We start from the raw sequence: 21,802 nt of genomic DNA, 5'->3' as shown, positions 1-21,802 counted from the left end.
TTTTGGGTAGAGACAGGGTTTCACCATGTTGTCCAGGCTGATCTCGAACTCCTGTCCTCAAGTGATCCACCCACCTCGGCCTACCAAAGTGCTGGGATTGTAGGCGTGAGCCACCATGCCTAGCCAGGGGCCTAGTTTTTAGAGCTACCTTACACAACAGAATGGCCTATTGCTTTGGGTTATATTCGTGACCCAAAAGTTACTGTCAGCAGTCTTGTAACAGGAGCAGGCATGTCCTGAGATTTACCCTTGCCCCATCCCCATCAGGAAGTATTGTCCTCCTCTCCAGCTTCTCAAAACAACTTCCTCTTGGCATCATGGAACAATGCCATTGATACCCTCTCACTGCTGCTCCAATTGCTCTTCCCCAACAACCATTAACAACGCCATCATGCCCCAGGCCCTCTGATGGCGGGAATCAGAACCTCTTCTCTCCCCATAGTATGTGGAGACAGGTTGGGGGTGACCAGAGAAGAAAAGCAGGTTGAAAACATGTCTGGATGCTGAAAGGGTTTGGGATGTTGTTTAGGCACATCCAGATGCACCTGAGTACTCCATTCCCAGTATGGTCACTCAGGCAGTTACCATGGCAACCACCACAGCCAGCCTCCCCTGTGCCTAATACACACAAGCCTTTAAACAGAGGCCCCCTCCATCTGGAGGTGTCCAGCCTTACCCTGAGTGAGCCGGGTAGGCTGCCGGACAGGGAGCCCATCAATAGTGCAGGCATTGCCACAGGGGTAGAGGGTGAGGGTGCCCCGCAGGTTCTCGATGTAGCAGTGCTCTGGAGCCAGGCCTGGGCCCTGTAGTGAGATGTCTCTGGCTGCAGAGCCAATCACCGTCCTCCCTGGAGACAAGAGGCAAACTGAATCAGAGGGGTTGTCCAGGCTGAGGAGGCAGTGACAGGGCAAGGAGGGCCACAGTGGAAACATATTTCCACCTCCTACTCCAGGGAGAATCTCTGCCCACCACTGGCCACCCCTACTAGGCCCCTGAGCCTGGTCTATACAGTAAGTGATGGACGCTGTTCTCAAACAGAGAAAACTCTGCCTGAGAATGGGAGGCCCAGAGATGGGAAGACCCAGACAGCACACAGTAGGACCTAGACTCCACAGATGGAGAAGGAAGACTGCTTTTCTGCAGATCTTCCCTTATTCCCCCAACTGCCTCTCCCTATTGTCCTTTATCCTTTTTCCCCTTCATCCTACTCCTCATTTCTTCTAAATCTCCCTTTCTCTCCTTCTTCTCTCCCCCGCTTCTGCTACCTGCAACACTTCGTCTCCCTTGCTAACCTCTCTCTTCAGTGCAACCTCTCTCTTCAGTGCAGGCTCTCCCCTAACTGCAGCAAGAACAGCCCCTCCCGCTGACAGAGCCCCTGGGACTGGTATTTGGAGAATGTGGAGAATGTAGTATCACCCAGGCAACAAGTGCAGCCAGGAGAGTAGAGAGGGCGGGCAGAAGCTGAAAGGTGAAGGGGGCTGTGCCAGGGCCTCATCTTGGGAGATCTTGCCCTGACTCCCATCTCTCCATTCTCCATCTATGGTATACCCTCCCATGCAAGACAATGCCCTGGAGCGGGGCCCTTTTTCTTCTTGGCCACATTGGTTGCTAAGAGCAATGTGTTCTCCTGTTTCTCTCAGTGCTTTCTTCATGGTTTCTTTTCTTCTTCTTTTTTTTTTTTTTTTTTTTTTTTGAGATAGAGTCTCGCTCTGTTGCCCAGGCTGGAGTGCAGTGGCACGATCTCGGCTCACTGCAACCTCTGTCTCCTGGGTTCAAGCGATTCTTCTGCCTCAGCCTCCTGAGTAGCTGGGACTACAGGCCCGTGCCACCACGCCTGGCTAATTTTTGTATTTGTAGTGGAGATGGGGTTTCACCATATTGGCCAGGCTGGTCTAGAACTCCTGACCTCGTGATCCGCCTGCCTCAGCCTCCCAAAGTGCTGGGATAACAGGCGTGAGCCACCACACCTGGCCTCTCCTCCTTGTTTCTAAGCTGATCTTTAAGCCCAGTCGTGGAACCAGATCATCTACCAAGGAAGGCAGGCAGTCTGGGGAGGCAGAGACAAGGGAAGCAAGCTGGTGGTGTGGGGAGGCGAGCACCAGCAGACAGTAGAAGGGCCCCAACACATGCAGGAGGTGGGCCTCCAGGGCAGGAATGCCTATAAGGATAGAGGGGTGGTGAGTGAGATGCCCTGTTCACACTTACCTTCCTCCAGCGGCAGGAGGGTGATGGCTGTGCTGAGTCGCCCACTGCCCAGGCTCACCAGGTGGGGTTTGTCCGTTTGCACTTTCAGCCCTTTGCCTGTCTCGATCAGGTCCAAGGGTCCTTTCTGTAGGTAGTACGGGTGGAGGACAAGCATCATTAGATTCAGCACCTTACCACCCTAAACCAGTCACACCAGCACTCTCTCCAGCCCTCGCCCCTCTCCGAAGGGCTCTGAGGGTGCTGAAAGGCTTAGCACAAAATCTTACACAGAGCATGATTCCACTAAATTGTAATTAGATCTGAATCTAGGCCACTAACTCATCCCACTGGATTTATCGCAAGTCTTGGCTTAACTGTGCCTTTTGTCTATTAAAACAGAAGCAAGGAGAAAGGGGTGGGGGGTGGGGGTGGCATTGGATAAGCAGCAGGGGTACTGTAGAGGAAGGCCAATCAAGCTCCCTGCAGACTTGTCCATGGCTATCCACGTGGCCATTGCTTGCCCCTGCTAAGCTCAAGTACAGGGAAGATAGAGGCATGGATCAAGGAGAGTGATACAGCCCAGGGTCAATCTGTAAACTGCTTTCGGACTTTCGATGGGTAGTTTCTGGGTGAACCAATTAACCTGATTCAGATAAAGACTGAGCTGTTAATAGGCTTGGGACCTGGGGAAGGGCAGAGAGGAACAGAATTGCTCCTTTCATCCTTGGGCTGGGACCACAAGGGGGTAGAAGAGCTGATCCCATCCCTATTATATCTCTCTTGCCTCACAGCCCTGATCCCACTCACCTGCACCATGGTCTGGGTCTGGCATCCAGGGCCTATTTGGTTCCTATTGAGAGCGTCCATGGTCCTAAGGCTCCAGAGCTCCTAGGGACACAGCAGAAAGGTGGTGAGTGGGGAGGCCAGGGCAGGAGAGGGAAAGAAGTAGGTTCTGTGGCAGGGTTCTCAGGGCAGAGGTGTCACCAGTCACCATCATTCCCCAAATGCTCATGCTGAAGGGAAATAGAGGCAGCTAAAGAGCTTGGGTGGGAGTTGTCTGGGAGCAGTGCCAAGTCTCCAGCCAGCCACAGCATGGATACCAGTCCTGCCCCCTGCCACTGTAAGCACAAACAGTCCCATAGGGCCCAATCTATACTTCTGTGCTTTCTTGCCCTATGCTACTCAGAACCCGGGTTTTGACAGCTGAAGACCCTTGGCCCTGTGGAGCCTTAAGCAGGGTGGGGAAAATCTACCTTAGTGGGAGAAGCAGCAAGGAAGCCCCTCCAAGGACACTGGTAGCCAGAGGGCCCCCAGGTAGGTGGCAGGGCTAAAACAGGAGCTCCCTCCTGCAACCTTTCATTCTCCTCTTCACCATTTGTCTCTTTTCCCAGGGCTTTAGTAGGATGTTTTCTTAAAGGAGACACAAAAGAAAAACTCAGCCATTCCTGCTATCTCCAGATGTCTCAACTCCTACACCTTTTCTTCCCCAGAAAGCAACCTCAACCCAACACAATCAGCTAAAAAAATTTTTTTTAATTAAAAACAAAAAACTTTAGTGATAACTAATACTGGGAATATTGGGCTCAACTCTTGGGTTCTTAATTGGCTAGGTGCTATAGGAAGCTTAAACCATTAGAACCAGGAGTAAGACAGATTCCAGAGCCAGAACTTGAATACTCCCCACCACCACCCCACTGCCCCTCACCCACCATGCATCCCTCTCTCCCTGGCTCATGTTTTTGGTATCTGAGATGTGAGGACCTTTGTGTACTAATGTATGCCCCCATGCCCATCCCTTGGCCAACTAGCTAAGCTGAGAAACTTCCCACTTGCTGCTGAAATGTTACTGGGGAAAGCTAAGAGTGTGGCTGAGGGGTAAGGAGGCAGACCCAGGGAAACAGGGTTTCCTTCCACTCTCTCTTCAAGCCATCTACCAGGGGACTTGGAAAGGAAGTAGGGGCAGCAGCCCGCATTCCAAGGAGTGTCTGACCCTGGCAGTGGGTCCCGAGGACCTTAGCTATGGTGTTACTAAATTTACCCTCCCAGCTTCCACCCTTCCGGACCTGGACTGCATCATCTCCGTCACCATTTCCACCCAAGCTGGCGGAAGAGAGGCCGGAACCCAGGCTGGGGCCCACCCCAAGACTGCCAGGGAAGAGGGGAGGGAAAACGCCATTAACCTATGCAAAGCCCCAAGCTGGCCTGGCACCTCCCCAGAATTCCTGGCCATGGAGAAGAATTTCCAAGGACAAAGATTGCTGTACTGCTTCCTTAGACTCAGGGAAATCCCTCAGCATTTTCTGAGGGAGGAGGGGCAAGAGAGTGGGTTGGGAATGGGGAGTTTATGTAAAAAAGGGGTTAAGAAAAACAAAATAATAAATAATGGTGAAGGAGAAACATCATCCTTTGGTAGAAAGAACTTTAGACTGGGATATATAAAGCCTTAAATTCTACCCTGACTTTATTTATTTATTAGCTATAAGATCCTAGACAAGTTATTTAACTTCTCTGATTATCAAGTTATTCTTCTATAAAACTAGAGTAATGGAAAAAAATAAAAAAGACTGTCTGGATCAGTGCTTGCCTGGGGCTAGGGGTGGAATGAGGAGTGACTGTAAAAGGGCACAAGTTTGGTGGGGGTGGGGTGGGGGGAATGTTTTCAAATTAAATTGTGATGATTGCATGGCTCTGTAAATATACTAAAAATCTTTTAATTGCATACTTAAATTGGGTGGATGTTATAGTATATAAATTATACCTCAATAAAGCTGTCAGTTTTTTAAAAAGGACTGTCTGAAATTCAGGTATTATATTAAATGGCATTCTGTGAAAGCAAAGCACTTAATGCCATTTATTATTATTATTATTATTTTTTTTTTTTTTTTGAGACGGAGTTTCACTCTTGTTGCCCAGGCTGGAGTGCAGCGGTGCTATCTCGGCTTACCGCAACCTCCACCTCCCGGGTTCAAGCGATTCTCCTGCCACCAAGCCCAGCTAATTTTGTATTTTTAGTAGAGACGGGGTTTCTCCATGTTGGTCAGGCTGGTCTCGAACTCCCGACCTCAGGTGATCCGCCCGCCTCGACCTCCCGAAGTGCTGGGATTACAGGCGTGAGCCACCGCGCCTGGCCCCGTTTATTATTATGAGCTGTGTGACCTGGAGCAAGGCAGTTCACCTGTCTGGGCGTTAGTTTATTTATCTGTCATATTGGAGTATTGGTCACTATCGCCGTGTGGGGCAGCTGTGGTGTGCTCATTTATTTACACCCAAGAACTTCAAGTGGAGATAAAGATTGTAAAGGAGTAAGGCCGATGGAGAACAAGAGTGATTAGAGGAGAGAAGAGAATAAGGAGGCGAAAGTAAAGGGAGAGATAAGGAGAGAGGTGTGGGGAGAAGATAAGAAAAGATGGAGAGATTGGGAGGTGCGAGGCTGTGGCCCCAGCACAGTAACCTGATCCAAGAGAAGTGGAAAGAGACACCAGGCCAACCTGCCCTGCACTCAGGCGGTGCTTTCCCAAAGGGCGATCGCCGCGGCCGAGAGCGGCCACCTGGGGGCGCCCTCACCTTGACTCCCGCTCTGGCCCCGGCGGCTGAGTGGCGCTACGCGAGGGACGTCCCTCACCTGCGGCCCCGCTTCCATCTGGCCCGCGGCTCCCCAGCAACCCGGCTGTCATTACCCGCCCGCCCGGCCCCGCGGCCAAAAAAAGACCCCTGCGGTGCGCGTCCGGCCCTGGGTGCCCTCCCGCACGCTGGGTACAGACGCCCCAGTGCCGCCCCGGCAGCCGAGTGGCGGAGGCCCAGGTGTCTGGATTTGACGAGCGACAGGCAAGGCCCTCTGTGCGCAAGGCCGGGGCGCCGGCAGGTGACCCCGGCCCGGGCCCTCGGCCTCCTCCCCCGCGGGAATGCGCCGACACCCCAGCCACGCGGGACACCAGTCTGAAGCCCTCTCCGCCGAGTGGAGCACCCAGAGTGAACTCTCGGGGGTCTTGGCCCCCGCCTGAAGGAGGCCAAGGAAGGGCCGACTGGCTCCAGCACCAACGGGCACTGACACAGCTCCCGGGCTCCCACGGAGTCCCAGGACGAGAGGTCCAAAGCCAGCCCCAGAGCACCAGACCCGGCCCTTCGCGGGGCCACTGCTCGGGCGCTCCCCGGAGCCCCGCGGGTCGCCCGGCCTCACCTGTGTCCCTGGGGGTCGGCCTCGGCCTCGGCCCAAGCGGTGCATGGCTGTGGCCAGAGGCCCGCCAGGCCGAGCTGGGGTCCTCTCGGCCGCCGCCTTCGCCCTCCAGGCGCACATCCGCCCTCGAGAAAGGGCCGCCGTCAGAGGAAGGAGTCAGGAAGGGAAGGAAACTGAGGCGGGGAGCCCAGCGGGGGACGCCCGAGTGGGGAGGGGGACGAGAGAACTTAAGGATGAGAAAAACCTGACAGAGATGAATGGGGGTGTGCAGAGGGACGGGGCGGGGAAGGGGAGCCACCGGGATGTGAAGGGGAAAATGAAAGGCAGACTAAGAGATGGGAAAAAATGCAAGCTGGGGAGGGGAAGACCGAGGGCAGAGGATGCGGGGAGACTGAAGAACACAGAGGTGGAGGGGTCGGGGGAAGAAAGGACAGGCGGGTCCTCAAGTGGAGGCGACGACAGACGGGAACACTGGGGATGCGCGAGGGCAGCGGAGGGGAGGCTGACGGGCGGGGAGATGGGGCGAAGGAGAGGGAGGCTGGGGCCCACCGGGACCCCAAAGGCGGAAGAGAGGAGAGATGGGCGGCCCGAGGAGAGGGGGAGCCGGGAGAGCGCGGATGGAGCGAGGGCTGTTGCTTGGGTGTCCGGTGGTGGAAAGGTGCCTCTCCGCGGTCCGCAGGGCCGAGGGAGGGAGGTTTCCGCAAGGTAGCGGCCCCTTGCACCCCTCGGCCTGCTCCTGCCCAGGCTGCCCGCGTGGGACAAGGCCGCAGTGTTGGGCGCCTGCCGCTGCCGCCTGCCCGCCCGCCCCTGACAAGCGGCCTTTCTTTGGCGGGGCAGAGAGAAGGAGCCGCTTGTTTGCGCGGCCGGGAAACGGGGCGGCCCCCACAGACACCGCCCGTTCCGAGCCTGGCAGCTGCGGGAAGGGCGGCTGAATGTGTGTGAGGGGCCGCGTGTGTGAGCTGGGGCTGCGGTGTGAGCTGGGCTGTGTGTGTGACTGGGGCTGCATGTGTGAGGGGGCTGCATGTGTGAGCTGGGCTGCGTGTGTGAGCTGGGCTGTGTGTGTGGCTGGGGCTGTGTGACGGGCTGCGTGTGTGAGCTGGAGTGTATGTGTGAGCTGGGCTGCGTGTGTCAGCTGGGCTGTGTATTGAGCTGAGCTGTGTGTGTGATAGGCTGTGTGTGTGATGGGCTGTGTGTGTGAGCTGGGCTGTGTGTGTAAGCTGGGCTGTGTGTGTAACTGGGGCTGTGTGTGTGAGCTGGGCTGTGTATTGAGCTGAGCTGTGTGTGTGACGGGCTGCGTGTGTGAGCTGGGCTGTGTGTGTATAACTGGGGCTGTGTGTGTGAGCTGGGCTGTGTGTGTGACGGGCTGCTTGTGTGAGCTGGGCTGTGTGTGTGAGCTGGGCTGTGTGTGTGACGGGCTGCTTGCATGAGCTGGGCTGTGTAACTGGGGCAGTGTGTGTGAGCTGGGCTTCGTGTGTGAGCTGGGGCCTCGTGTTTGACTGGGGTGTGTGTGTGAGAGCTGGGGCTGCGTGTGTGAGCTGGGCTTCGTGTGTGAGCTGGGGCCTCATGTGTGACGGGTACGTGTGTGAGCTGGGTTGTGTGTGTGACTGGGGTGCGTGTGTGAGGTAGGCTGTGTGACTGGGGTGCATGTGTGAGCTGGGGCGCGTGTAAGCGGGGCTGCGGGTGTGAGGGGCTGCGTGAGCGCGGGGCGCTTTCCTGTGAGGCGTAAGGCATGGAGTGCGTGGGAAGGCCTCGGCGTGTGGGCGGGTCCGGGTGTGTCTGGGTGGCGTGACGCAGGGACGTAGGTGTGCGAAGTGTCGCGGAGGCGTGCGTGTGTGCCGCGTGGGAGCCCGGCGTGGTGGGGCGCCTGCGTTTGCGTTTGACGGCTGGGGGGTGAGCCCGCCGCCCGATGAGTCAGCCTCGGGAGGCTCCAGGACCGCTGAGCTAACGGCCCAGAATGCAGCCCCGCCCCAGAGCCGTGGGTCCCCGGCAGGGCTGTGCGGTCGCCCGGCCAAGTCCCCACTCGAGCCTGCCTCGGCGGAAGCGCTAGCGGGCGACTCGGCCACCCTGCGCCGGCGCCCCTACCCAGCCGCCCGCCCGCACTTCCCTATCCCGGGGGAGCCCGGATGACTTGGGTCAGCCTCCGCTCGGGGAACTCCGCTAGGGATTCCAATAGGGACCGCGCGGGCGTGGCAAGGCGCCCCAGGCGGCCTCCCCGGCCCCCGAGGACGTGGGGCCTTGGGGAGTGCCTGGGAGGCCCCAGGCGGGCTTCCCATCTCCTGGACACCCCCAGGCAGCCCTCCTAGACGCTCAAGACTCTGAGCCGGACTCCGAATCCCTTCCTGGTCCATCAAGGCGGCCGGCCTGGGGACAGGCGGGGAGACGTCACAGGAGATACCCCCGCCCCAAGGTCCTGCTGTGGGCGGAGAGGGGGAGGTGTGGGGCGCTGGAGGACGAAAACCCGCGCGCGCGCTCGCCGCCCGATACCCCGCGAGTGTCCGCCCGGCCGCCTGGGTGCCGGCGGGAGAGTCTGGATAGGGCCAGGATCAGAGTTTCTCCAAGGGGGGGAGAGCGTCACGGCCCCCTCTGGCGGTGGCGTTGGCAGCGGCCGAGGAAGGCAAAAGCAAGAGGCTCACAGGAAAACTCCCCATAACGCTCCTTTCGCCCCCACGCACTCACCTGGGGTGCCCTCTCTCCCCCACGGGTTTCTGCCGAGCTCCCTAGCCTAGAGCTGATCTCAGGGCTCTCGCCAGGCCCCGGGGACTTCCCCTTATCCAGTCCTAGCACCGCAGCGAATGGGACCCGCAAGTGTAGTGGGACGGGGCGCTCTTACCTAGAGGTGGGGGGGGGGCAGGGAGACACTGGTCCCTTAGCCTGGCTCGGCTCGGTCGCGGTGGCCTCAGGCTTAGGAGGACACCGTTGCTTTTCCCCGGGAGCTCGCTAAGTAGGAGGAGAGCGAGCCTGTCCCGCCCCCCTCCCGCCAGTCCCCGCCCCCGTCCCCCGTCCCGTCCGCCTGGCCAGCCAAAGAAGACGCCCTTGTGGGGCTGGAGCCCAAGGTCCCCCCACCCACCCTTTCCCACAGCAGCACCTCCCCCAGCCTGCACAGCGCCCGCTTTGTTCATCTTTGCAGCTGGGCTCTCCACCATCACCACCACCACCACCACCACCACCACCACCACCACCACCACCACCACCACCACCACACATCCCCCTCTCCTCCCACCCTGCCCTCCCGACTCTCCTAGACCACCCTCCACTCCCAGGCTTTAACACGCTTTTGAGAGGGTGTTTTTGACAATCCGTTCTCCCTCCCCCAAACTCTCCCCTCTTTCTTTTTGCCTTAGATGCCTGAAACCTCCACGGGCTCCCACTGAACCTCCCAAATCGAAGCCCCTACAACATGCTCTCAACATCTCCAGAACATCTACTGAGGGTACCCAGGTCTTCTCCCTGTCACCTCCTCCCCTCGCCCTATTCCAAGCCCCACCATGAAGAGCTGTAAATGACATTGATAGCCACGCACATCAGGCTTCACAGACTTTCTTAAGGATAGGCACAAGAAGACTCGTTAAAGTGTCATGCAAACTCCAAAGCACAGGAAAACCGAATGGAATTATCATCTTGCCCCCATGGAGCTCCACACCCCTCCACCCCGACAGACTTGCTGGATTACAGATTGGGAGATGGAGGCAGGCTATAGACATACAATTGAGCACACCAACCTGTAGTAGGAGTGGGAGTTAATAAGGAAGAGAAGGAGGCACTAAACACCTAAAAGCAGCCCCCAAATTGAGCTAGGTTGAAGTCATTCTCCATCTCAACCTCCACTCCGAAATCCAACGCTGACAGTGGATCCTTACCTTGCAAAGCCAGCTCTTGGTCCAGGAGACTGGCTGGGGAGGCCCTAGGGAGCTGAACTCAGCTGGACTGGACTTCTTTGACCTGCACTAGAGGGACCCTGGAGACTCTTCTTCACTGAAGGAAGGAGCAGAAAGCCTGTAAGTCTGGTCTAAATTCCAGCTGGGGTGGATAGCAAAAAATAATTTATCCTCTTTGAGATGGACAAGTGCTGTTCTAATTCAATGAGTTTAGTTTGTGCCGTCTCTCCCTAACCCAGGAACAGCAGGAGGCTGAACTACAGGAATCTCTGGTCACTCATTGACAGGGCTGGCCTTAGCAGGGGACCCCCCACGGCTGGAGACTGAAGCTGACCGGGGCCAAGCAGCAGACAAGGAGGGGGAGGGGAGAGGCCGCCCTTTGCTGCCACCTGCTATAGCTAATGGAGGTGGAACACTCAAGATCCAGAATATGCTGTGGGTACCAGGAAGTCCTAGGATTTGAGGAGCGAGACTCTAGTTTTTCCTCTCTTCATACTGTTTGAAGTCATGAAAGTAATTCTGATGAACCTTCATGAGGCAGATCACAACAGTAATATTCAGGCTATTTGGGTATGTAAAAAAAGGAAGAAGGAAAAAACCCAAACTGTTGTATCCCATGTGCCAAGACCCAGCACTGAGGGGAGGGGTCCAGATTGCAGTACCTCAGAGGCTTTTCACTTCATTCTGTTTCACGGCCCCCAGCTCCTCTTTACTGTACTGGGCAGGAGGAATTTCAGGGAATAATCAAGCCTGCCATGGAGGCAGTGGATGCTGAGGCAGAGGGTCGAAACAGCACCCAACTTCTCTCACTGACCTCCCAACACAGGGACCAGCTGACCCTATGATAAAGGCGCTGTGCAATGTGTCCTCTCCCCTGCTGTGTCAGGCCTCTATGTTCCCACAGTTAGAGCACTCAGGGGACTAAAGACCTACCGCCCCCACTCTCCATCTCCGCCCTGCTCCACATCTGGAGCCCATCAAAAAACTCAGCGCTCTCTCACAGTTACGCAAGAGGTCGAGCAGCTGGGAGCTCAGGAAAGGGGGAGGAAGAGAGGGAAAGAAAGCAGAAAACAGCTTTCCAGGCCTGCTTCAGACTTTCCGAAGTGGAAGCAGGGGGAGAGGGCAAAGCCTGGGTGTGGAAGGAAGAGTGGATTTTTCTAAGGCCCTTTGCATTGGCTACAAGTGTCAGGAGTGAATTTCCATACTCCTGCTTTTGCCTTGGCACATTCCCCACTTTGTCCCACCTCTCAAATTGTACTCCCTCTAGCCCCAGAGAGGTGATTATTGCTCATACAGCAAGCAATCCTTGTAGATACACACCCTCTTCCAGAAAGCTGTCCGTTTCTGGCCTCTGGATCCTGAAGTCAGGCATCATTGGTGTAGGCGTGGTGGTAGCAATGACCCTGCAGCAACTTGGGGAAAAGTTCAAAGCTCTCTTTTCAGCTGTCTTAGAAATTGCATAGTCTGCTTCGACCCAAAGCTAACATGCATCCAAGCTAAGTGGGAAATTTGGGTAGGACAGAAGACTGGTCTTGTGTACCTCCAAGGCTAAGGGCTTTCCTAATGAGCTAAAAGAACAAGCATTCATTTGGGCAAAAGAATGGGAGACAAGACCTATTTCAATTTCTCTCATTGTCTTGAATTTCTAATGCTTCTTTCAAACAGCCCCTGTCCTGGTTTGGTAATCAATCTGATCACCCAGAGTAAACCTAGGGAAGCTTTCCAGTATTGGTTTAGACCCTAAATAACCACTTAGCCCCTGCCCTAAGAACAGCAGGGCAAAAAAACTGCGGTGGGGGATGGGAGAAGTGGTCCAAGCTTCTGAAAACTGCCTAATAGCTTGACTTGTGATTGTGAGAGGGAAAACAGCCTGGTTTGGAAAGATAGTCTAATTTTTCTAAAGGCCTACCTCCGTATCAATCCCCAACTCCCCAGGATAAGACGTTAAGGCAGCTATTTGTAGTGTTGCTGTCTGCCCTTGGGTAACAGCAATGCACAGCAACCAACCTACTTGTGGATCTTCTAGGACAAGGGAATTGGGGGTAAGGGGGTTGTAATAAGACAGATGTGCATAGCAAAAGAAAATCATTTGTGAGGTTTTGCTTGAGATTCCTCTAGAGCCTACAAGACAGAAGCCATGTTACCTACTCTCATATAGATCCATGTTTAGTACTAGCTGTAGTTAACACTTGTCTAACTTGGAAAAAAAAAGGCTTCACAAGCAGATAGTCATTGCTTCCAGTTAGACTTTAATCTTCTTGAGGATGACTTTTTCCATTTTTCTCCTGTCTCCTTCCAATAAGCCCTGTCAGATGTGAAGTTTAATAAAAAGCTATTCTATATCAACCCTGGAAATCTCAGACCCTAGCCAGTGTGAACAACTTTAAAACTGTTCACAATTTAAAAATTAATTGGAGGGCAAAGTTTCCCATCAGAGATGCATGGGTTGACAAATTTGAAGCTATGGTGAGTAAAGGAATGACAGACCTTAATCATTTCATTCGATTAAGGCTACAGTCTCAGACAGCTAAGCCACACTTGAGCAACATTAGACCAGATACTTTTTTTCACCAAGAAAAAAAAAATCAGAATCTTGGCTTTCAACATTAGAAATTTCTCATCCCAGATACTTAATAAGTGAGAATAATTTGCCTTCCAATTTTTTGACACCCAATAGTTTTTCCAAGTTAAATTTTAAAAAAGCATAAGAAAGTAAGCAGCTCTGGCGGAGCGCGGTGGCTCAGGCCTATAATCCCAGCACTTTGGGAGGCTGAGGCGGGCGGATCACGAGGTCAGGAGTTTGAGACCAGTCTGACCAACATGGTGAAACCGTCTCTACTAAAAATACAAAAATTAGCCGGGGGTGGTGGTGTGGAATGCCTGTAATCCCAGCTACTCAGGAGGCTGAGGCAGGAGAATCACTTGAACCCTGGAGGTGGAGGTTGTGGTGAGCCGAAATCATGTCACTGCACTGCAGCCTGGTGACTGTCTCAAAAAAAAAAAAAAAAAAGGCTGGGCGCGGTGGCTCACGCCTGTAATCCAGCACTTTGGGAGGCAGAGGTGGGCGAATCATCTGAGACCAGGAGTTCAAGACCAGCCTGACCAACATGGTGAAACCGTCTCTACGAAAATACAAAAAAAATTAGCCCGGCATGATGGCGGGTGACTGTAATCCCAGCTACTCTGGAGGCTGAGGCAGGAGAATCGCTTGAAGCTGGGCGACCGTGGTTGCAGCGAGCTGAGATCGCACCACCACACTCCAACCTGGGCAGCTAAGCGAGACTCCATCTCAAAAAAAAAAAGTAAGCAGGTTTATCTGAGGGAATTATCAACAGTTCCCAAAAATTGTTCCCATTATCCCTCATCCCTGGATCACTTCTCATCACGGTCTAATGGGGAAGAGAAGACTCCAAGACTCCAAGATTAAAGATGAAGCCTGACTTTTTTGACTCTCCAACTGCCGTCTGACAAAATTAAGACTCCAATCCCCAAAAAGGCCAGAAGTAGCATCAAATTCAAAAGCTACACTGTCAGGAGTGCATGTATCAAATGTAGAAAAATACGCAAGGAAGCACAATACATATAAGATGGAAAAAGGCAATGAATACTCTCACAGATTACTTTCTCTTAAAAAAAACATGTCATTAATTTTTAATGTTAGGTCCCATTACAGCATCCTGAATCAACAAGCAGACACCAAAGTGAGTCAATAATCCAATAAACATCTCATTTTATAATGCGCTTTATTTGATTAAAGAATTTGCCTTCTTTGTATACACTGGAATGTTATATTCCCTATGTATTTTACAGGGTTACAAAATGTCTCTCATTTTAAATATTACCCCAAAAGTAATCTCAGAAAAAAAAGGTTTTTTGAAATTAAACTTGACTTTTAAAAAATCATACGGACAAACAACTTTCAAACAAAACTGGATTAGTAGGATTTCTTGCCTGCTTAACTAACATGACAGACTTCTTGTCCCAAGCCCTTCTCAGAAAAACCTCATGTGGAAACCAAGCTAGAGATAAGAATTCTTCCCTGATGCAGTTAGGGGAAAGGGAAAGGCTAGAAACTTCTTTGGCAAGCAATTCCACACACAGCCATTTATGTGTGAGTGCTCTGCTTCAAGCACAGTACACTCTTTGCAGGGACGGCCAGATGTTCAGAGTGGGAGTGGTACTTTTCAACCAGCTAAAAGTGCAGAAGTCATCTAGTCGTCTGCCTCTTCCCACTGCCAGTGCCTGCAGCCTTGCAGCAACTTTTAACCACCCCTATGGACTGGAATATTGAGTTAAAAGCCAAGGCTGAGCTGGCTGACGCTGTAGTCTCCATTGAAAAGGAAATGGATGAGATGGAACCGAGAAACCACCAGTACATGATGACACTCAAAAGACTTAGGGGGAAAGAGAAGGAAGGATTTCAGAGATGGGGACAGACTGGTGGAAAATGTTGGGCTGACTGGAAGGAAATGGGGTATACGTGAGTAATATGTACATATCGAAACAATCAGTTGCCTCCTGAAATGCAAAAAATCAAATGGTGAAATGGAGCCTCCTTGATAGTTTAGGGCCAACAGGATTGGCAAAGACTCCCTGAACCCACAGCCTTCAAAATCATAACCCCATTTCTGTTAGAAAGGAGGGGACTGATGACAGAGAGTGCAGTCTGGAAGAGGGAGGTGGTGAAACTGAGGAATGTGAATGGATTACAGACTGTGGCCATTACGTTTTAGCTTAAGTACCCAAAATGTGGAGAAATGAAAATTTGGGTAGCAACAGCAGCAGACATGATTACATGTGGATGTGAAATCCCTAACTGGACAGACATAACCATTCTTTTAGACATCTTGAAGAGGGACTGTGCCATTTGAAAGGTGCTTCTCAGCTATCTTTAATATTGACACAAGTGGGATTCATGGTACTGTTCTAAACTGGAAGGACAGGCCCTGAAAGGAAAACAACTTGGCAAAGAGATGAAGGAATGAATTGATACGGGAAAAGAACAGAAGACATGCGTATCTTTTAACTTCTAGACCCCATACCCCTCAAATAGTTCACCTGAATAGTCCAAAAATCAAGAATGGGTTAGATATACTTGTTCCAGGAGTGCCAAATAAATATAATGCCTGTAAACAGATGATCCCAGTGCCTGACTGAATGTATAGAAAGAAAAACCTAAAGGTAAAGGGTATGAATGATTAAAATTTTCTACAGAGAAAACTTTTTAAAAACAAACTAAGTATGAAATATAACTATATTTAGGGATTATATTTAGGGATTAAAATAAAGGAGCAGCTGGGCATGGTGGCTCATGCCTGTAATCCCAACACTTTGGGAGGCTGAGGTGGGCGGATTGCCTGAGCTCAGGAGTTCGCGACCAGCCTGGGCAACACGGTGAAACCCCGTCTCTACTAAAATACAAAAAATTAGCCAGGCGTGGTGGCGTGCACCTGTAGTCCCAGCTACTCGGAGGCTGAGGCAGGAGACTTGCTTGAACCCAGGAGGCGGAGGTTGCAGTGAGCTGAGATCATGCCATTGCATTCCAGCCTGGGTTACAAAGTGAGACTCCATCTCAAAAAATAATAATAATAATAATAATAATAATAAAATAAAAATAAAGGAGCAACTTAGGTAAAGGTAGAGGAGGTATTTAACTGGGGGCATTCTCTGGAGAGCTTGCTTTCCTGCTGGCCAATACAATCTGCCAAAGAAAATTAGCAGCCTTTCCCTTTATGTTTGTGCCATTTCCTTATCAAAGAATGTCTCTGTGACACTGAAACATGGGGGTGAGTCGAGGGTCCTTGCGCGCAGAGAATCGTGCATTGTATCAGAAAAAAGGGGTCTCCAGTGGCTTGTAAATCTGGGAAAAACTCTTCAGCCATCATTGGCGTCTTCTTTATTAATCTGAAAATTTTCCTTTTCAGCTCCCTCTTCTTGGTATTACAGAATTTCATACTTATCCACTAGGAAAGTGGTCTCTGTGGAAAACCTGACGGGGCTGTTTCCATCTACCTGGGTCACTTTGGTAACCTAGGAAAATAAACAAAGAGTAAGGTAAAGCAGGAGGTTTGAGTCTCCATCATGTTGACTACATTCTCATTACAGAACATATCAATTTCCCTAAAAGCGGTATTAAAAGTAACTGTAAAATACTAGAAAAATGTTCAATTCACAACTGAAAGTCACAGCATCACTCTTCCCCACCAAAATGATTAAGCTGCTTTTCTTCTAGATGGAGAAAAGACAACTGTTGGGACGAGATGTTCCGTAGTATTAAGTAAAAGCTCCAAAATGAGTGGCCACAGCCCAGCCCTGCCCTGTATAACCTATGAAATTCATAGACATTCTATCAGGATGATATATTAACATTCTGACCCAAAAGGCAACGTTCTAGCTCTTCACATTATTCATTTGCTCTGCTCTCAAAGTCTCGTGTTAAAAGTCCCAGTAAGCTGCTCTATCATACTTATTTTTTAGGCATGGCTGGTCCAATGAGGTTTTTCCTTTTTAAATAAATAAATGTCCAGCTTAATTAATTACATGTAACAATGGTACCTATAACGGCACCAATACAACACTTGAACCACTGATTCGTATTTTCTAATGAAGTTTTGGGAGAGCAATTATAATGTCCTAATCTTTGAATAGCCCCAATAGGAAAATTTACCCATTTCTATCTAATGTCTTGAGTTCAATACAGTTGCTTCCAACACTGATGGGGTTATGTCACTAACAGGATAGGGAGAGAGAACTGCTCTTTGGAATCATTCAAGGGAGGAAGCTGCAATTTTCTAAGCATTTACAGGGGAGACGGAGACCATATGGGAAGCTAAGGTAGGGCCAGAACAACAAGCAAGTCAAAAAGAGGGGAATATTAATAATATAAACTGGGTCCTAGTAATGCAAATTAAAAAACTGGAAGAACAGCCAGACGTGGAAGCTCACTCCTGTAATCCCAGCACTTTGGGAAGCCGAGGTGGGCGGATCATCTGAGGTCAGGAGTTAGAGACCAGCCTGGCCAACATGGTGAAACCCCATCTCTACTAAAAATACAAAAAAAAATTAGCTGGGTGTGGCAGTACACGCCTGTAGTCCCAGCTACTTGGGAGGCTGAGGCAGGAGAATCACTTGAACCTGGGAGGCAGAGGCTGCAGTGAGCTGAGATCGCACTGCACTCCAGCCTTGGTGACAGAGCAAGACTCCGTCTCAAAACAACAACAACAATAAAAACTGGAAGAATGATGAGTTAAAAAATAATGATCCGGGCCGAGCGCGGTGACTCGCGCCTGTAATCCTAGCACTTTGGGAGGCCGAGGTGGCTGGATCACGAGGTCAAGAGTTTGAGACCAGCCTGGCCAACATGGTGAAATACCGTCTTTACTAAAAATACAAAAATCAGACAGGCGTGGTGGCGCATGCCGGTAGTCCCAGCTACTCAGGAGGATGAGGCAGGAGAATCGCTTGAACCTGGGAGGCAGAGGTTGCAGTGAACCAACATCACGCCATTGCACTCCAGCCTGGGCAACAAGAGTGAAACTCCGTCTTAAAAAAAAAAAAAATCCGCCAGGCGTGGTAGTTCACGCCTGTAATCTCAGCACTTTGGGAGGCTGAGGTGGGCGGATCACCTCAGGTCAGGATTTCGAGACCAGCCTGACCGATATGGTGAAACCCTGTCTCTACTAAAAATACAAAAATTAGCCAGGCATGGTGGCAGGCGCATGTAATCTCAGCTACTGGGGAGGCTGAGACAGAATTGCTTGAACCCGGGAGGCAGAGGTTGCAGTGGGCCGAGATCATGTCACTGCACTCCAGCCTGGGCAACAGAGCAAGACTCCGTCTCAGAAAAAAAGGAAAAAAATCCATTGGGCACTGTGGCTCACACTTGTAATCCCATCACTTTGGGAGGCTGAGGCGGGTAGATCACCTGAGGTCGGGAGTTCAAGACCAGCCTGACCAACATGGAGAAACCCCGTCTCTACCAAATATACAAAAATTAGCAGGGCATGGTGGCGCATTCCTGTATTTCCAGCTACTTGGGAGGCTGAGGCAAGAGAATTGTTTGAACCTGGGAGGCGGAGGTTGCGGTGAGCTGACAGCGCGCCATTGCACTCCAGCCTGGGTGAAAAGAGCAAAACTCCATCTCAAAAAAAAAAAAAAAAAAAAAAATCCGAAGGAACAGCTCACACATCTCCATTGCTTTGCCTACCTAAAGGACAGAGTTTGCAACAGAATTGGCTCATGATTATTTGTACTAATAAAGGGAGCTGTGACATAAATAACCCTCAAATAATTTCCATTTGTAATAGAATGGATTTTTTTTTTGTAGTAATTTTGTCTTCTAAATAAAACAATTTCATTCTTTGGGTATAAATCAAGTGACAGCAAGGCCTTAAAAAAACCATGTGTTGGGGTGTTTTGGCAAATCGACTTTAAAATATATAAGGTTAAAAAAAAACAGGCAACTAAGTGTTTATGAATCTTGCATAATCCACAAGTACTTTTATCTGTATTAACATTCCATTTCTTTACTTTGTCTGATCTAGAGAGGAAAACTGAGGTAAAGCAATAAAAGAATTTGACCACGATCATACAATGAATTAGAAAGGGAATTCCTGTAGGAGACATCAGTTTTTTTCTGAGCTTTATCTGACCACAAAAAGCCATGCTACCTGTCTGGCATCCTATACGTGTTCCTACTGTCCTACCACTTTCCCTATATATGTTCTCAACTAAAATGGAGTACCTGTATGTTACAGTAATTTTTCTTGGAGACAAAGGAAACTTGAACAGGGAAGAAGTCATTGGGCTGCCCAGCAATGCTAAACTCCAGGCTGCCACTCTTATTTTTGGCATCAATCACAGGCAGGCACCACTCCAGGGTATTTCGTCGACTGTCATGTCGATACTCCCCATCGATCTCACCGATAACAGGCGCGCCGACACCAGACCTGTTGTGAGAAACATTCTGGTCAAGGTAGCTGTTCAGAGCTAGAACTCCACCACGGAAAACCAACCCCAAATTTGATATATGATCCCCAAATTTTGCCTTCTAGGACTACAATTTCAGGGGAAAAAAAGGCTAATAACTTCAAGGATCAAACGATGAAGTCCTAGCACCTTGGGCTAAGAGTTTCACTCAATTCCCTCTGTAGATATAGTTAATATGCAAAAATAGGTATTTGGCAGATATGCCTATGGGCTGCTCCAACTTAAGGACTAGATCTGGGGACTGCGACCAACAGATGTGTTAAGATGGCTATGTTTCCAAAAACCCTGCACCAATAGGTTGCTGCCCTATAAATAAGGAATTTTAACATAATGTAGCACTCTTTATAGGAGACAATGGGGAAACAAGCAGATTGATAATAGTGGGGGAAAACTCTAAACATCAATAGTGGAGATGAATGGAGGCCTTTGAGAGAATTTGTTTTCTTGTTCATTTGTTTTTTGAGACAGAGTCTTGCTCTGTCGCCAGGCTGGAGTACAGTGGCGTGATCTCAGCTCACTGCAACCTCCGCCTCCCCAGTTCAAGCGATTCTCCTGCCTCAGCCTCCCAAGTTGCTGGGACTACAGGCGTGTGCCGCCACGCCCAGCTAATTTTTGTATTTTTAGTAGAGGCGGGGTTTCACCATGCGGGCCAGGATGGTCTCATCTCCTGACCCCGTGATCCACTTGCCTCGGCCTCCCAAAGTGCTGAGATTACAGGCATGAGCCACCGCACCCGGCCGAGAATTTGTTTTTAAAGATTTCAGAATGTTTCAAACTTATTGAAGTTGACACCAATGGGTTTATTTGATTTACAATCCAGTAAATGGACTTTTATTTGATAAGTGAAAGCACAATTACCCCTGGGGCAAAATGGAAACATGATGGGAGAAACAGATCCGTAGTTGTCCTTAATCTGCGAGAGAAGCAGGGCTAGTTAAGATTTACTCTGCACCCCTACACACGGCTGACAGGCAGTGTCACCTACTCCTACACATTCTAAATTTACCAGCTTTTAATTCACCAGTGACACTCAATGTTTATATTAGGGATAGGGTAAATAAGGGAGACAAAGTAAACTTTAAGGGTGGCATAAGACTATTAACTCTTCCCTATCAATTTCAGGGTCCTGGTTCTTTTATGTTCCTTCTCTGTGCCCTTGCTCTAATTCTGATTCTGATCTCTTCTAATTTGATCAGTTCTAGACAACGGGAGTAAAATGTTGTGTAAGGGTCTCTTCTGGAGACCATTGCAAAACTGAACTAGAATACAGGAAACCACCACAACCACAATTATAGGGTAGACAGGCCTCAAAATTGTAGCATTCTATAAATAGTCTAGTAAACTAAATCTTGACAAACAAAACTCTACCTGTCACCAACACCCAAGTCCTACAACAGTTCAAGGCAGCCATCTATTGTTCTGAAGCAATAACCATACTGTAGAGGATAAGATGGTTACCCATTAAAGGGGATACTGGTAATAAAGTATATTTTTAAAATTGGAAACAAGAATGACTAAAACCAGACCTGATAATGTAAAGGCTTGAATTATCAAAAAGGGAAGAAAACTATGAATTAAATTAGTACTTTTTTTTTTTTTTGAGACGGAATCTCGCTCTGTCACCCAGGCTGGAGTGCAGTGGCGCGATCTCAGCTCACTGCAAGCTCCGCCTCCCGGCTTCACACCATTCTCCTGCCTCAGCCTCCGGAGTAGCTGGAACTACAGGCGCCCGCCACCAGGCCCAGCTAATTTTTTGTATTTTTAGTAGAGACGGGGTTTCACTGTGTTAGCCAAGATGGTCTCGATCTCCTGACCTCGTGATCCGCCCGCCTCGGCCTCCCAAAGTGCTGGGATTACAGGCGTGAGCCACTGCGCCTGGCAAATTAGTACCATTTTCTCTGCAGCAATAACTGAGCGACATAACAGTAAAGATACACTAAGAATACACTTACTGGTGCTCATAATTAAACATTGTGCTTAATCATGAGGGCTGATGGGTAGGTGAAAGGAGCTAGGATTTACTGTGAAGTAATAACTGCATGCTCACTGTAAATGTTACTAAAAAGATAAGGTAGAGACCATTTCCAGTTGATCCTAGATAGTGGGCCATTTAAGTGTACAACAAAAGCTTATTGGAACTCAACTTCTGGGGTTGACATGACATTTTTGTTATCTTGATTATGGTGGTGGTTTCACAAGTGTAAACATGTCAAGATTATACAATTAAAATATGTGTAGTTTATTGTATATAAATTATGCTCCAAAAGGGCTGTTAGGAAATTTACTGTAACTAATGTAGACATCTTGTTCAACAAGAATCAACAGTTCCCTTGAACACACTCTCATCTTTAGTGAAAGTTTAGAGACTAGCACGTGAAAATGAAACATTCAGCCCGATAGACTCAATTTCTTTGAAACCTGCAAAACAGAAAGTTTGACTGACAAATGGCTCCTCCTTCTGGAAATCTTCATTACTACACAAACAAGCTGAGGACCAACATCTAAAAACAGCTCCAGGCCAGGTGCAGTGGCTCACGCCTGTAATCCCAGCACTTTGGGAAGCCAAGGCAGGTGGATCATT

At 50.1% G+C, this 21,802-nt stretch overlaps 2 protein-coding genes and 1 long non-coding RNA gene across 60 annotated transcripts in view, besides 9 other annotated features; 1 reads left to right on the top strand and 2 right to left on the bottom strand.

Moving 5' to 3' along the window:
- PHLDB1 (pleckstrin homology like domain family B member 1) overlaps positions 1-10,452 on the bottom strand; it is a 51,593-nt gene extending 41,141 nt beyond the window's left edge. For 35 of the 46 annotated variants that reach the window (XR_947813.3, XR_007062463.1, XM_011542703.3 and 32 more), the window contains exons 1-4: positions 6,362-7,185; positions 2,992-3,072; positions 2,206-2,329; positions 677-847 (exon numbers count right to left, since the gene is read on the bottom strand). Coding sequence is in view for 44 of the 46 variants with exons in the window: in XM_011542703.3 (XP_011541005.1) it covers positions 677-847; positions 2,206-2,329; positions 2,992-3,072; positions 6,362-6,478 (493 nt within the window). In the remaining 2 variants the exon portion in view is untranslated. Of the gene's footprint in view, positions 1-676; positions 848-2,205; positions 2,330-2,991; positions 3,073-3,437; positions 3,595-6,361; positions 8,076-9,034; positions 9,274-10,215 lie in introns of those variants that run through there. The other 11 variants (XM_047426637.1, XM_047426638.1, XM_047426639.1 and 8 more) reach the window with 6 other exon arrangements.
- Positions 403-919: an enhancer, noted in NCBI's record as "H3K27ac-H3K4me1 hESC enhancer chr11:118486684-118487200 (GRCh37/hg19 assembly coordinates)". NCBI's record gives its function as "activates a minimal SCP1, AML or CMV promoter by ChIP-STARR-seq in primed H9 embryonic stem cells {active_cell/tissue: H9 hESC(primed)}" and the evidence as "EXISTENCE:reporter gene assay evidence [ECO:0000049][PMID:30033119]".
- Positions 920-1,437: an enhancer, noted in NCBI's record as "H3K27ac-H3K4me1 hESC enhancer chr11:118486166-118486683 (GRCh37/hg19 assembly coordinates)". NCBI's record gives its function as "activates a minimal SCP1, AML or CMV promoter by ChIP-STARR-seq in naive H9 embryonic stem cells {active_cell/tissue: H9 hESC(naive)}" and the evidence as "EXISTENCE:reporter gene assay evidence [ECO:0000049][PMID:30033119]".
- Positions 5,987-6,046: a silencer, noted in NCBI's record as "silent region_3950". NCBI's record gives its function as "represses an Ori minimal core promoter by ATAC-STARR-seq in GM12878 lymphoblastoid cells {active_cell/tissue: GM12878}" and the evidence as "EXISTENCE:reporter gene assay evidence [ECO:0000049][PMID:35858748]".
- Positions 6,754-7,427: an enhancer, noted in NCBI's record as "H3K27ac-H3K4me1 hESC enhancer chr11:118480176-118480849 (GRCh37/hg19 assembly coordinates)". NCBI's record gives its function as "activates a minimal SCP1, AML or CMV promoter by ChIP-STARR-seq in primed H9 embryonic stem cells {active_cell/tissue: H9 hESC(primed)}" and the evidence as "EXISTENCE:reporter gene assay evidence [ECO:0000049][PMID:30033119]".
- Positions 7,428-8,102: an enhancer, noted in NCBI's record as "H3K27ac-H3K4me1 hESC enhancer chr11:118479501-118480175 (GRCh37/hg19 assembly coordinates)". NCBI's record gives its function as "activates a minimal SCP1, AML or CMV promoter by ChIP-STARR-seq in primed H9 embryonic stem cells {active_cell/tissue: H9 hESC(primed)}" and the evidence as "EXISTENCE:reporter gene assay evidence [ECO:0000049][PMID:30033119]".
- Positions 8,140-8,434: an enhancer, noted in NCBI's record as "tiled region #10010; K562 Activating DNase unmatched - State 1:Tss". NCBI's record gives its function as "activates a minimal TATA promoter and a strong SV40 promoter by Sharpr-MPRA in K562 cells {active_cell/tissue: K562}" and the evidence as "EXISTENCE:reporter gene assay evidence [ECO:0000049][PMID:27701403]".
- Positions 8,377-13,989, top strand: LOC124902765 (uncharacterized). Its single transcript, XR_007062908.1, has 2 exons — positions 8,377-8,765; positions 9,700-13,989. It is a non-coding gene; the product is annotated as an uncharacterized LOC124902765 (long non-coding RNA).
- Positions 8,562-8,631: a silencer, noted in NCBI's record as "silent region_3949". NCBI's record gives its function as "represses an Ori minimal core promoter by ATAC-STARR-seq in GM12878 lymphoblastoid cells {active_cell/tissue: GM12878}" and the evidence as "EXISTENCE:reporter gene assay evidence [ECO:0000049][PMID:35858748]".
- Positions 8,692-8,781: a silencer, noted in NCBI's record as "silent region_3948". NCBI's record gives its function as "represses an Ori minimal core promoter by ATAC-STARR-seq in GM12878 lymphoblastoid cells {active_cell/tissue: GM12878}" and the evidence as "EXISTENCE:reporter gene assay evidence [ECO:0000049][PMID:35858748]".
- Positions 12,041-12,236: a transcriptional cis regulatory region, noted in NCBI's record as "candidate enhancer chr11.5498 targeted for multiplex CRISPR interference". NCBI's record gives its function as "positively regulates PHLDB1 gene expression with high confidence in K562 cells {active_cell/tissue: K562}" and the evidence as "EXISTENCE:mutant phenotype evidence [ECO:0000015][PMID:30612741]".
- The window catches only part of ARCN1 (archain 1 coat protein complex I subunit delta), a 30,625-nt gene continuing 22,677 nt past the window's right edge, over positions 13,855-21,802 (bottom strand). For 10 of the 13 annotated variants that reach the window (NR_189132.1, NR_189131.1, NM_001425076.1 and 7 more), the window contains 2 exons: positions 18,977-19,181; positions 13,855-16,263 (listed from right to left, as the gene is read on the bottom strand). Coding sequence is in view for 11 of the 13 variants with exons in the window: in NM_001425076.1 (NP_001412005.1) it covers positions 16,174-16,263; positions 18,977-19,181 (295 nt within the window). In the remaining 2 variants the exon portion in view is untranslated. The remainder of the gene's footprint in view (positions 16,264-18,976; positions 19,182-21,802) is intronic. The other 3 variants (NM_001425078.1, NM_001425079.1, NM_001425081.1) reach the window with 1 other exon arrangement.

Source organism: Homo sapiens, chromosome 11 (assembly GCF_000001405.40).
Source record: "Homo sapiens chromosome 11, GRCh38.p14 Primary Assembly".
Classification (NCBI taxonomy): Eukaryota; Metazoa; Chordata; class Mammalia; order Primates; family Hominidae; genus Homo; species Homo sapiens.
The sequence above is the reverse complement of the archived record's forward strand: the minus strand, read 5'-3'. Positions and strand labels throughout refer to the sequence as shown.